The following is a 15,146-nucleotide window of genomic DNA, read 5'->3' as shown; positions in this document are numbered from 1 at the left end:
CACACACATAACATGTTCTTCTTCCCTTCTGCTTTTTTTTGGCCCAAATTCTGAGAACAACAGAAATTATGGACGATACTAAATGCACAAAAGCACCGTATACATGAATGGCAGACTCGAGAGACAAGGACTGAGTGCCTACTAGGCTGCAGAGAGCAAATACACATGACAATCATGTAAGCTGCAGTCATATCCATTCTGCCAGCAAGGAAACCAGAGATGTTCACCAGAAGCTTGACCACGGTCATTCTGCTAGGGAACAGTGAAGCTGGGATTTTAATGCAAGCCCTTGTTCTTTCTTTCCTCGATACGCCCCAATGCCTCTCCTACACTTGTAATGAGCATTACTATGAAAAATATATGACACTTAGGAATGTGAATGCTATACGCTTGGGAAATTAGGATGAGGGAGAGAGAAACAAGCATAGATTGAGCACCTATGTGATGTGTTCTGCAGTATGCGAGATATCTTATATAGACTTCATCTCACTTCATTCTCACAACACTCCTACAGAACAAGTCTTAAGATCTTTATCTGGAAGACAAAGAAACTGATAATAAGAAGTTCAAAGGGAAAGAATACAAAACCACCCACAGGTTCTACCCTTTAGGATGTTGAAATCCAGAGCGCCTAAAAACACACTCAGAATAACGCCATCCAACCTATCTACCTCACAAGACTGTGGCAGGGGCCATGTGAAATAATTTGTATGGATATAATTTATAGGCTGTAAAACTCTATGCAAATCAAAGAAAAAATACTTACACATGGTCAGTTTTAACTGGAGCAACTGTTAGAAAAGCTCAAACCAGTAGTGACATTTAAACCATGATATACTACACAGCAAAATCTATAACCACTTCTAAATCTAGGAAAATTCTCATCTTAAGATGTTTGCTTTCAGATCATAACTATTATTAAAGACTCTAGAATAAAGCAAGATTCTACTGTGGACTTTGGTTCCACCATAATTTCCACATACAACCTGATTGTTTGACTTTGTTTGACAGGTATCATAATGAACATCAACCAGCTGTAGGAACCCACTGATTAGAAAGGTTTACTCTGCATTTGAATAATTTTTTTTTTTTTGAGACGGAGTCTTGTTCTATCACCCAAGCTGGAGTGCAGTGGCACAATCTTGGCTCACTGCAACCTCCGCCTTCTGGGTTCAAGTGATTCTCCTGCCTCAGCCTCCCAAGTAGCTGGGATTACAGACATGTAGCACCATGCCCGGCTAATTTTTGTATTTTTAGTAGAGACGGGGGTTTCACCATGTCAGCCAGGCTGGTCTTGAACTCCTGACCTGAAGTGATCTGCCCGCCTTGGCCTCCTAAAGTGCCTGGATTACAGGCGTGAGCCACCGTACCTGGCCGCATTTGAGTAATTTTTGTTAAGCTAAACACCTCTTGTTAGCAGCTCTATAGTCACATAACAAATTTTTAAAACATGTTATTGTGTTAAAAGTCTAAAATATAATACAATTTTAAAATATCTAAAATATAGTCAAATCTTGACTTTGCACTTGCCTAAAGATAACTTACACAAAGAGCTAAAGTGGTACTTTTTTTCAATGAATAAGATTGATTTCTGTAATTTTAAATTCAATTTTTGGTTCCTAACTTAAGGAATGCATTTTAAGTAGTAATCAAGTAATATACAAGTATTATAATGTAACATACTTAATTAATGCATATAAAGTGCTTAGTACCATGGTTGGCATGCAGAAAGTGCTAAATAGATGAGGAGGAGGAGGGTGGAACTTACCTCATGTCTTTGCTGGGACAAAGAAGCCTATGTCCAAATTTCCTAACTACCTGATCTTTGATAACAAGAATACAATTCACAATGCCTTCAGCACATCTGTTTGTATTTTCTTGCTCAGAGTATATGTTCTTAAGGTATATTAAGATGTGGTTTGGAAACTGGGATCTCTGACAAGAAACACCATGAATCACTTTCTCCATTAATAGTCTTTGAAAAACCCTTTCAAAGAGAGGCATCTAATTTTGCTAGATTTCCATGTTCAAGACATGGCAGAGCATGCCTGCTATGTACTTACACACATACTGCATTGTGGTTGCCAGAAAACCCATACCAAAAAAAAAAAAGATGAATGAACAGGAGGCATGATAGGATTCCAGGAATCTTACTGAAAAGGTTTCCCAATCCACACTCACTGACTGAAGGTGAACATTCTCCATTCCATGTGGGCAAGAATCCCCCAGACCTGAGAATGTTTCTGTTAAAAATTCCAGTGGAAGCTTAGACATGAATACAGCAATACCATCAGGTCCTAGTAACCCGCAGGCCAGGCAGAACAATTCTCCAAGTGTTGCAGGGGTCTCAGGGAACTGATGGAACTGACCCACCCACTCCTCTTTCTATGTGGAAAGAGGGAATGTGGACAGGACTAAGAGCTATAAAGGGAGTGAGGAAAAGCTATAAAGAGAGTGAGGAAAAGTTGAGCAGCTGGGTTTTCCCTCTCTAGAAGTCAAGCTTTGGTGCTTTGTGTAATCAGGACATGCAGCTGTTAGAGAGCAGAGTAGAAATAGAACTTGTATTAGCTGAGGTCTCTTGCCTACAAAACAAGGGGGTGCACATTATCTCAAGCAACAGGATGTTCAACTGCGGTTGTGTACAGCAAGAAGGAGATAGACGTCTCAAGAGAACCCAGAACGCAGAACCAGCTGGCCATATAAGCCAAACCTCATGGAGGCTAAGACACAGTTCAGTAACTGAAAAGATGTTCAGAATCCACAGCACTTGTAGCAACCCCACTATATGCTGCCCCATCCCTACTCCCCTTCAGAAATGCTGTTGAACTTCATTCTTGTACCCAACATTAACGTGGTAGGATTGGCTACTTCTGTTTCTTTTTGGTATTATACGTCTGTTCCAGATACTTACTGTTCAATTCTAACTTAGGAATTCCTTAAGAGAGATTCTGATTAATCTAATTTCGTCAACATCATCCCTGTTTGGGAAAGTGCCTCTGCCAGGCCACCTTACAGGCAGCTGGCCAGCCTCAGATTGGTTTTGAGTCAACTGCCCACCCGCTTTCCAGTCCACTGTGGCCAGAAGGTGAGGTCACCCATAGTATCACTTTTACCAAAAGGTAACCTGTCTGATTACAATAGTTATCATCTGTTCTAAGACTAATGATTGATTTGTCCAGATTGTTTTAAAAAGTAAATCTGCCCTGCTGAAATGGTAATCTAGGAAAAACAACACATTTCAAGGGAGTTGGCAGGTCAGCAGACCAGAGGCATTGCCTTTTTCATGGTAGAAGAAGGAAGAGAGGAAATACGCAATTCCTCTCGAACGAAGCTCCCGCTCCGAACCCATAGACTCGTTCCACCCACACTCGATTGGTCAAAGCAAGTCACATGGCCAAGCCCAGAGTCAAGGGGACACGCAAAATCCACTATACCCACAGGAAGCCATGACAAGATGTGTGTGTGGAGGGGGGCAGGGTGGGGGGAAGAACTAGAAAGAACTATGCATATATTATACGATTTACCATGTTTATTATTTATTCTCGGATGAATAAAATGTTAGGGGAGAAAGTCAAATTGGTGAGAGAATCATTCTTAACAAAACTATATCCACCACCTTCTCTCTCCTATAAAGACTAACGAAAGTGCTTTTCATTAAATTTCTACAGTTACCAAAACCAAAACAACAACAAAAAAAAACTCTTTGGACCAGAAAGCATGTACCTAACCGAATCACAAAAGGTCAGTACAGTATTTTTGACTGACGAATAAAGGCAAAAATATAAATCAAAAGATTTTGTTTGGGGGAGGATTACGCCGTAACCTTCTAAAGTAAAGCAGATGCGCGCTCCAGCCAGCTCCTCCATGGAATGTAAGCTGAAAGCGTGGGAGGAAGAGCTCTTGGTTTCTGCTGGATCTGAGTGAAGCAGTTGCACTCATGAGATGCACCTGTAGCCATTAAGGGGTGTTGGTTAAACAAGGAGCCCAGCTGGTGGGTGCCTGTGCTTCCAGGCCTCGTTAGGGAAGAGCACTCAATCCCACACAAGAAGCCCAGATACCATCAACACAGGAACGACCACCGCCCTTTCACCTGCTCTCCGGATGCTTTTCTTTCTCTCGCCAAAGCTTTCTAAATCTGTTTATAGGATACAAGGACTTACAAGTAATTATGATGTTTTTCACAAAACACTGCATATTTAAAATATTTTCATTCAGTAAGAAAAAAAGCTAGAACCTTGGAAAAGCAAACTTGTGAAGTGCAGTTTGGGCTACAAGACTTTTTCTTAATGGATCTTCCTGTATGGATAATGTAAGAAACTAAAAAAAAAAAAAAAAAAAAAAAAGACTTTACAAAATTTATTTCCACTGAAGAAAATCAGACTAATTAGAAAGTTTTCCAACAGAACTAAAGGAAAATGTATTTAAGTGGTCAGAAAGTGGATCTAATGAGAAATAACGATGATAATCACCAAAGTTAGCTCCATGCGAATTATATTTACTCAGGGAGAGATTTGGGAATTATTTTTCCTGACTTGCATACCATGCTAAATATTAAGAAACTGCATGTAAGTCTGAGTAGTCAACCACGTACTAATGAAGTTTTGTAGTCTTTTAATAGCATAGTACTTTGCTTAATAAAGATGATGTTTAATTGCGAAAAAAATTACTTTAAAAAATACACATACAACACTGCTGGTGGGAGTATAAATTAGTTCAATCATTGTGGAAAGCAGTTTGGCAATTCCTCAAAGAGCTAAAAGCAGAACTACCATTCAACCCAGCAATCCCATTACTGGATATATACCCAGAGGAATATAAATCGTTCTACCTTAAAGACACATGCACGTGAATGAATGTTCATTGCAGCACTATTCACGATAGCAAAGACATGGAATCACCCTAAATGCTCATCAATAACAGACTGGATAAAGAAAATATGGTACATATATGCCATGAAATACTATGCAGCCATAAAAAAGAATGAGATCATGTCTTCTGCAGAAACATATATGGAGCTGGAGGCTATTATCCTTAGCAAACTATGCAGGAACAGAAAACCGAATACCACATGTTCTCACACTTGTAAGTGGGAGCTAAATGATAAGAACTTATGAACACAAAGAAGGGAACAACAGACCCTGGGGTCTACTTTAAGTGGGAGGGTAAAAGGAGGGAGAAGGGCAGAAAAGATAACTACGGTACTGGGCTTAATACCTGGGTGATGAAATAATCTGTACAACGAAACCCCGTGACACGTGTTTACCTATGTAACAAACTTTCACATGTACCCCTAAACCTAAAAGTTAAAAAAATACACACATATATACTTGATTGAATATATGTGTGTATATATACACACAGCCATCATACATATATACATGTACGTATTTCTTGATTTAAAGTTTGCTTGTCAGAAGAATTAATATAACCATACTGCAACTACCTCTTAGGAAAGAAAGTTGTTCTCCAGTCATGTATTAACTTCTACTTCCTTTGTATGGGAATGAAAAGAAATTAGGGCAGCCAGAGTAGGGTTAATATTCAGGAGATATTCAAAAACAAACAATGCAGAACTAAAATCACAGAAAATAACACAAAGCCCTTTTTAAGAAATGTCACATATAAAATATAAGAAAGGTATTTACAGGCCAGGCGCAGTGCTCTCGTCTATAATCCCAGCACTTTGGGAGGCCAAGGCGGGAGGATCACGAGGTCGGGAGATCAAGACCATCCTGGCTAATATGGTGAAACCCCGCCTCTACTAAAAATACAAAAAAATTAGCCAGGCGTGGTGGCAGGCGCCTGTAGTCCCAGCCTACTCGGGAAGCTGAGGCAGAAGAATGGCATGAACCCGGGAGGCGGAGCTTGCAGTAAGCCAAGATCGCACCACTCCACTCCAGCCTGGGTGACAGTGCGAGACTCCATCTCAAAAATAAAAGAAAGAAAGAAAGGTATTTATGGATCCTTATGTCAAAGTGGGGATGGACTTACTCCAATGCAGTCATTTTCAACATTAAGGGGACTCTTCTATAAGGAATCTAATTCATGAGAAGACAAAGCATTCTACTTTAAGTCCCTGGGAAACATCTCATGAGCAGTATTTTGCGTGGGCCTATTTTATTTTGAATCAAAGCTACCATTTCTGTTCTAATAATGATTAATTTCCTCAAAATTCTTTCCCAATCCAGAAGTAAAATCAACTAAAACCCTCAATTTCTGGCAAAGGTATCCTAAGGCTGAGGAGGCACCATCTCTTTTCTTTTTCTTTGCTTTACAGTTTCCCCACATGCAAACAATAAATTCATTTGTATTACCTTTCCCTAGGGAAAAAAAAAATCAGTCTGACTCCAGAATATTCTGGAGCCATACAGTATTGATTTCTTAAAATCAGTCTCAACACCCAGAAATGTCCTTGAATTTGCTTGTTTCTTATAAACTCTTGGGCCCTTATAACTAAAACCTTTATCTGGTAGTGAAGGCTGCTCATCGAGGAATTTAAACTACATGATCCTTCACCCTAGAAGGTTTTTCTTCTTTGCTGTTTTCATATTGCTGGGTAAGTTTCTTGGAAATATTTATAACCAATCCATATCTACTGTTTCACAGCTATCTTAAACTTCGTGTGGCCTATCAGGGGGCAAAGAGAATAATCATGTTCGTACGGCTTCCCTGAACTGGAATGTTATCAAATAGCTCTCAGATATACCATCCTCCCCTCCACGCCCTAACCCAGGATAACGTGCATGGCAAGACTGCTCATGAACTTTTCTTTGCAATAGATCATATCCTGTCCTTGAATGAAATCTGGATTCCCAAGGATACCAGCTCAGCAGAACCCTGTTCATCCACATTCACCAGAATGCCTTCTCAGGTGTCAGTCTGTACATGGTTATAATGTAGTTTTACTGTCTAGGCTTTCAAACCAAAAACTTTGCCAGAAATCATTGAAAAGCAGACGCCTTTCTTTCAGGAATCTTTAGTACTAACATCCACATGATCATACAGTTGGGAAACTGGCTCAAGGTTCCCGATTCCCATACAGAATTGAGCATGGGACAAGGAGCTTAAGGAACTCGCTGATTTTGCAAGGAAAAAGCACAAAGCTTTATCATTATTCCTTCTTTAAAACAGTTTGTTTTCACACCTAATATTCCTCTTAAATGCTTAAGCAGTTTTTGCTGGTTTTCATCAGCTCTTGTAAGGTCATTCATGGCTGGTCCAACTTCCACTGCCTTTTAGTACCCACTGGGTTGGTGTAAGCCAATCCCAAAGACAGTTTTTTTTGTTGTTTTTTTTTTGTTTTTTTTTTTTTGCACACAAGTTAAAGGTAGTCTCCATGTAGGGAGGGCTTTCAATGCTGCAAACATGTTCTCTGGAAGTCTTCTCTCCCATGGACCCACTTGGTCCATCTGCAAAGCTCTGCCCTGTAAGGCTCCCAATCTGTCAGGACCTATCAGCGAGGATGTCTCAGAGGAGCAGAGCTGCCCAAACCCTGGATTTCTCCTGCTGCTGCTTCTGTTCTCTCTTCACATGAGTGTGATACCATCCATATCCTAAACTTCAACATCGACATTAAGGCCACAACAGTTCTCAGGACCAGACTCTTCCTCAACAGCATTTTCAAATGGCTCCTCCTCTGAAGATCTCCAGATTGCAATTCATCCCATGTGTAAGAATGTTGCTCCAATTCCCCTCATCTACACTTACTATATCTGCCTTTATCCAGTTGCCACCCCAAGGATTTTCCCGTCTTTTGCAGCATCCATCCCATAATGGGTGCTCTCAACTACGCCAGGGACACCTCCCATGAGCATTCTGTAACTGGCACTAGGCATCCAGAGCCTTTAAGCAACGTTCTTGCCCACCTCCCTGAAGTGGCTGGCATAAGCAGACCTGTCCGTGTTAAATATTGCCTATCTCCTAACATTCAGCTTTGTTTTGACAGAGCAAAAATCTTGAATGTCTCTTGTAAGTCTCTGCCAAAGCACTCTGCTCTCTCACTCAGGGCAACCAGGAAGACCCAGACAATCTTACGGGTAACCTCTTTGTGGTATCAGACTGCAACCGTAAAGACTCTTCGCTCCAGACATGTGAACTTCCTTTTTCAAGGGGAGACATAAGCATTTACCATCAAACCCTGAGATGTTTCCGTGACTTGCCGTGCTTCTCGATGTCAGCCTGAACTGAAGCCTGAAGGCTAACGCTACAAGCAAGACATTCAACCATAGTATTAATAAAAGTTAGAAAGAAGAGGCCTCGTGTGTCCAAAGCAGCCGTACTTCTCTTAGTGTGGAACTATGGACTGCGATCAGGCCAGAACTGGGATTCAGGAGTTCAGGCCACAAAGCTGCTACTATGAAAACAACAGACTCTACATCTGTCTCAGACCAGAGCTCAGGAGACCTGGGGAGCTGTTCTATCTGCAAATGGAGGTGCCAGATTTCAGTCAGCCCGTGATTGATGGCTGGGAGTCAAGCTGCCCCAGCCTGTTGCAAAGACTGAGAGAGGGCAGCACAGACCAGAACTCAGGGCTAAGATGTCTCCTGTGGTGCCACTGCAGGTGGGAATTACATTTTCTTCTGTCAGAAGTCACTTAATAGGGACCCTGTGCGTGCTTCTTCACTTCTACGGTTGCTTATTTAAACAAAAAAGGTTAGGTTTAACACTTTAAGTAAAAAGTGGGCTTGACCTCACTTTTCCTTTCCTTTTTTTTTTTTGCAATTTAATGGTACTGTGTGTTTGGAAATGCCAGTCATTTCTCTCTCTCTCTCCCCCATGTTAGTACATCAGATGACAACTAGACAATTTTTTTAAGAGCCTGAGTTATATCTGTTTAAAGATTTTTAAGAAGTTACCATATAAAACATGACATCTGCCTTTCCTGAAATTGTTTACACTTTAAGTAAACAGTGGGCTTGTCCTTACTTTTCTTTTTTTGCAATTTAACAGTATTATGTGTTTGCAAATGCCAGTCATTTCTCTCTCTCTTTCTCCCCCACGTTAGCACATCAGGAGATAAATTGGTACATTTTTTTAAGAGCCAGAGCTATATCTGTTTAAAGACCTTTAAGAAGTTACTGTATAAAACATGACATCTGCCATGCCTAAAACGTAAAATTTCTGCCTTGTTGAATTTAAAGAACTAAAACTTTAGATGACTTTGAAATATAAGTAACCTATTTAAAACCTAAGCCCATCTTGAGAGAACGACAACTGGAATTAGCAATGAGAAATCCAATTTAGAGAAGTTCAGATTTCTAAATCGTTCCAAATATTAAAGTTATGTAGTAGAAAAAGGGACTAAGGAGGCAAATGCTTAAATTGGAGCTTCGCTAATCTTTTAGTTCTTCTTTGCACAGTCTGGAAACCAGTCGTCTAGGGAACCATGTCAGTTACATGGCCATTGCTGCTCATCCTAAAGATCTCCTTTATAAGTAGCTCTACAATCTATCTTAGTAAGTCCTTTGGTGTCTTATAACCCTGATGATAAATACACCTCTTTCCACCATAGACTGTACTTAAAATATTATTTGCTGGCTTTAATATTATAAAGCATTCCATATCATTTTTACTACGTCAGCACATAGTATGATGTAGACACTTATTATACCCTCAAGGACTTTTTCTAGCAGGTTATGTCAAACTAATCTCTTTTTGTCTGAGTTACTTGGGTTTGCTCCTGAACATGTGCTATTCTAATCTTGACTGACCATTTTTATAAGATGGTCTTCCAAATGTTATGTCATTTCCATTTTCTTCCTCTGGGTTAAAAAAAATTACTAAACTAAACACAATAGAATTTGGTTTACATGCTGAATTCTTTCCTACAAGTCACCAATGAAAACACTGTATAAAGCAGACCCCCACCCCTACCCCACACCATCCCTAGACTTCTGAGAGCTTATGAGCTCAATTCCTTGGAGCTGAAACTGAGTCTCATAACTACCTACTTGGCAATAATTTTTCATAAATATTTGTTATTTTAAATTGAGATATGATTCACATGCCACAGAATTCACCCTTAAGTGTATAATTCAGTTTTTTTATTTTTAGTGTTTTCAGGTTGTGCAACCAGCATGACCACCTAATTCCAGAACATTTTCATCACCCCAAAAGAAACCTCTTACCTATAAATAACTATTCCCTATTCCCACTCTCCCCTGTCCCTGGCAACCGCTAATCTTCTTTCCGTGTCTGTGGATTTGCCTACTCTGGACATCTTATAGAAATGGACTCATATAGCATGTAGTCTGGATTCTTTTGTGTCTGGAATCTTTCACTTGGCTTGTTTTCACAGTTCATCCATGTTGTAGCATGTATCAATCTTATTCCTTTTTATGGCTGAGTAATACTCCTACATTGTGTGTGTGTGTGTATATATATGTGTGTGTGTGTGTACATATATGTGTGTATATATATTTGTGTATACGTGTGTGTGTGTGTGTGTGTGTGTGTGTGTGTGTGTATATATCTGTTTGTTTATCCCTTCATCAGTTGATGGACATTTGGGGTTGTTCCCACTCTCTTGGCTATTACAAATAATGTTGCTATGAACATTCATGTACAAGTTTTTGTGCAAACATATGTTTTCAATTCTTTTGGATATATAGCTAGGTGTGGAATTGCTGGGTTATATGATAACTCTATATTTAACTTTTTTGAGAAACTCATGCAGTATCTTAATGTGATACTGTGTTGTGATATGGCTGGGACTGCTTCATCCCATAAAAATATTTCCACCAATATCAAAAGGTTTTCTATAAGCAACCAGGAGTAACATCCCATTCCTTTCCCAATTGCTGTGTGGCCCATTATTCTAAAATTAAAAGAAACTAGACTTATCTAACACAAGCAGCTTCCTGGTAGTTCATGCTTTTCTGGGTGCCTTCAAACTAAGTGGAAATGTATCCGAGAATTGTCATGCTCTGGAGGGTGGGTTGGTGGGGACACTGAGAATGAAGGACAGCTGCTAGAAGCAGGGCCTCTTGGGCTGCTTTTGTCACGTTCCAGGCACCAAACAATCAGGTCCGATATCTAGATGTTTTCAGTGGATTGAGAGACTGTGAGTCTCTAGATCAAGAATTGGCAAACTATAGCCCATGAGCCAAATCCAGCCACCTGATCTACAACCTGAGAGGTAAGAAGGATATTTACACGTTTAATAGATACATGTTAAATAGCTATATAAATATCTACCTAAGATCCTTGATTTGCCTATTGGCTAACAAAGTCTAAAGTACTCCCTAAAAGTTTGCCAATCCCTACTCTAGATGATACGGATGCAAATTAAATTCTTTTAAGGCCAACAAATAAAGCAGAACACCACAAGTTATTAATTTATCACTAGAGATATCCTTTACCGGCTGGGCATGGTGGCTCACACCTGTAATCCCAGCACTTGGCAAGGCCAAAGTGGGCGGATCACTTGAGGTCAGGAGTTCGAGACTAGCCTGGCCAACATGGTGAAACCCTATCTCTACTAAAAATACAAAAACTAGCTGGGCAGTAGTGGCACACACCTGTAATCCCAGCTACCCAGAAGGCTGAGGCAGGAGAATCACTTGAGCCTGGGAGGCAGAGGTTGTGGTGAGCTGAGATCATGCCACTGCACTCCATTATTCATAATAGCCAAGAGAGTGGGAACAACCCCAAATGTCCATCAACTGATGAATGGATAAACAAACTGAGATACATATCTCTATACAATGTGGGAGTATTACTCAGCCATAAAAAGGAATAAGATACTGATACATGCTACAACACGGATGAACTTTGAAAAGAAGCTGGGAAAAAAAAGAGATATCCTTTACCAATGACCAGAGAACACCCAACATAGGATGTCAAGTTACCTAGAAAGTGACTAAGAAGACTGGTAAATATACAGAATCAAATTAGGAAAAGTAGTGTGTACACATTGGACAGGGATGGTGAATTGTATTATCAAAACTGTGGGAAAATCCCATAAAATAGTCATCCCTCCCAAAAGAAAGCACCTCACTAGCAACTTGGTTAGTTTCTCTCTATCTACAATGTTTTATCTGGAGAGTGCTGCGTTTGACACATTAATGTATTTTACTCTACTAAATCCATCACCTCCATCCTCATCTCTTTCCTGCTTATTCAAAACAATTGTTCTTTTTCTCTTACCAAGTGTCGAGAGCAAATCCTTATTCCCTTGGGCTTGTAGACTACTGTCTCCTATTATGAGCTAAGAGTTGCACAGTGCTTAGAGCTCAAGGTATGCATTATTATTATTGCTCTTGTAATATATCAATATTAAACATACCAACTGGTCATTACTGTAGACCCCCTTTTTAATCACTTTTAAAGGGAGAAGATAACACTTGTTATTGCCAACCTCTAGTTTTCAACCGCTTCTCTAGTTCCCATAGCTTCTCAAAAGTAATGGCAGTGGACTACAATGACATACCTCACTTCTTCAATTTCACTCCAAGATACATCATGCTCAAATGATCTTAGTATCTTCTATTTTTCTAAAGAATCAGAGCTATCAGCTTCTGTTTGACCTTCAAATCTTTCAGCACAATAAAAAATTAATGTTTGCATTTGATCTCTTCTGTAAATATAAAAATGAAGATGCTATAAAAGCTTCTGCTTTTCCTCAGACTTCTCTGACTAACTGTTCCTTCCTTTCTGTTCCATGTAAGGCTTCTTTGGAGCCTCCTCTTTTACCTACCACAGAACAGGAGTATGCAGAGACAGTATGTTTAGGTCCCTCCTACTACCTGTACCTCCTTTCCAGTTTTAATCATCTTTTGTGGTTCTTACTCCATTTTGCCATTTCAGTATCCTTCATGGTCCTGCCAAATTATCTCTTTTAAAAACTTTCCAACTAGCCCTCCAGCTCTCAGTAGAGCTCTGGCCTCAGCAAAAATAGCCACATCTCCCTTCTTGTCTTTCCTACATGCGTAACTCTTTCAGTTAATTCCTGAGCTTCTTTCTGAACAACAGCCATCTTTTAGGGGGTTTGAGCAGAGAACACCACCACTGTGATAATGTATATTAGTCTACATTCTTTTACTAGCTCCTTACTATGTAGAAAATATATTTAAACAGGATGAGCGGGAAAGATATGGACAGAACAGATAAGAAACTTATCTTCACATTCTTCTAAGATATAATTTCATCTTTCAGAACACAGTTCAACCAAGATTTGAGAGTTTAAAATACATATATACACACGAGGGTGGAAATACACACACAGTGGGAATTTTCATTCCAATAACAAATCACAGAAAACAAATCAAAACCACAGTCTAGTCTCTAGTCTTAATACCAGTGTTCTCTAACCATCTTTTCCTGATACCTCCAGATAATTCAGAATTCTCTTCTCTTATCAGTATAATCATAAACTTTAAAATCTCTCTTCCCATCACACTCTGATTTGGGAGATCTTTTAAAAAAATTGTCATCTGTATAAAACCCCAAGGAAATAAGAAGTACATCTTTTCCTTAATTTTTAAAATTAGTATTAGAAAAATATTACACATATACTCAAGAAATATTCACTTAAGAGAAACGGCTCTTTAAGTACGAATATCAAAGGATTTTTAAGAATCAAATAGATGCATCTATTCTTTTGCAAATGACTTGGAAGTGATTTTTTCCTAATGATCTAAATGGTTTCTGTATTCTTCCCTAAGATCCCCAGGGCTCACTTTCCTCAACATCCCAATAAACCATACCAAACTATTGTTCTGGGGTCTAGCCACCGGTCACTGAGCAGGACTTTCTCAAAAGACAAAAAGTGGATGGACAAACCTGCTGTTAGATACTCTTTTTGTTAAATGACCAATTCTGAGGGAAGAGTCAATCACTTTAGATTCAGTACAGAAACGGGGAGGTGGAGTGGGTGTAGGGAACCAAAGCCACAACAAATGTGGACTTCACTAGTGCCAAACAGTAGTAAAAACTGTATCTCAACTCTTCATACTATTCCCAGTGGTGAAAGATGGTCCTTTTCCCACCTCACAACTGGCATTCTCTTTCATTACCTATGGTGCAGGCAATCAGTCAACATGTGACAGGGCAGGAAGCTGCTGGAACGAGAGCGTGTGTCTAGCTCTCGCCTTTGGATGGGCTGCGCCTTACTCCAGAACGTTTTCTCCAGATGCTGCCGGCAGACACTCTGTAATACCTAAACCACAAATCATCACATTCCCCACCCTTTGAGCCAGGCCTTGTCCTTGAGCTTCCCACATAGCGAGATATTAACCAAGCTGGCCACTGATACAATAGCGCTTTACAAATTCAGAGAAATCTGCCACGCCAGCTGCTTGATACACTAAAAACTAGGTGAGTCTTATAATGTAAAAATATCCACTGTAGGAGAACCTCAGAGAGCTATGCAGGACATTTCAGACGTTTCACAAGGCATGAGTCCTGGCTAGCTTACTAAAGAAAATATTGCATCAATGTAAACATGTCAGACATATGACTGGACCCAAAGTTAGAGCAAATATGTCTTAGACATGAAGCCATATTGCAGAAACAGAATGACAGGCAGGTCACTTCGGATTCATTTCCAAAACCCAGGAAAAACTGCTTTTCCTCAGAATAAGGAAACCATGCTAAATTTCTGCTGTCTGGTTGCTTCAGGAACCAATGTGGATTTTTTAATGACTCTTGAATTTTATTTACTGTGACACATTAAAGCCGTCTACACTGAACAAAGTGTTTCCAATCTCTGATACCATAACTTGGGAAAATGGTTGATAAGACTATACTCACGCTGAAAAGGTGCCGCAACTTGATCCTGCACATATCTTAAAGGGAAAGAACCTTCAGTGGACTGCTCTCCTGAAATCCCCTTCTGGGCTGGAAAGTACTTGGGCTTGAGCACGTATTCCTGGGTCTGGCCATGGTGAATCACCACACTCTGGGAAGAAAGAGGAGTCACTCTGGGAAGAAACAAAATAAAGAGAAGGAATTAAATAATGGGCTTTTAAAAGTCAGCTAATAAGGAAAGGGTAAGCAACGAGTTAAATGTAGAAAGGAGCATCAATTCCAAGCAAGGCTCATTTTTTTTCCTTCAAATACTGTCGCTGACCACTCATGACATAGAAGGAGGTAAATGATGGCTTACGCTCAGAAGCGTCCTTCACGAAAAAGATCCTGCCTGTCTA

At 39.8% G+C, this 15,146-nt stretch overlaps 1 protein-coding gene and 1 pseudogene across 38 annotated transcripts in view; both read right to left on the bottom strand.

Annotated features, from left to right (window-relative positions):
• LTBP1 (latent transforming growth factor beta binding protein 1) overlaps positions 1-15,146 on the bottom strand; it is a 452,557-nt gene that overhangs the window by 274,007 nt on the left and 163,404 nt on the right. For all 38 annotated transcript variants that reach the window (XM_011532853.3, XM_011532857.3, XM_011532861.3 and 35 more), the window contains exon 4: positions 14,752-14,921. In XM_011532853.3, the coding sequence (XP_011531155.1) occupies positions 14,752-14,921 (170 nt within the window). The remainder of the gene's footprint in view (positions 1-14,751; positions 14,922-15,146) is intronic.
• On the bottom strand, positions 6,397-8,239 carry TYW1P1 (tRNA-yW synthesizing protein 1 homolog pseudogene 1; annotated as a pseudogene).

Source organism: Homo sapiens, chromosome 2 (assembly GCF_000001405.40).
Source record: "Homo sapiens chromosome 2, GRCh38.p14 Primary Assembly".
NCBI classification, from domain to species: Eukaryota; Metazoa; Chordata; class Mammalia; order Primates; family Hominidae; genus Homo; species Homo sapiens.
Note: the sequence above shows the minus strand (reverse complement) of the source record. Positions and strands in the feature narration are given on the sequence as shown.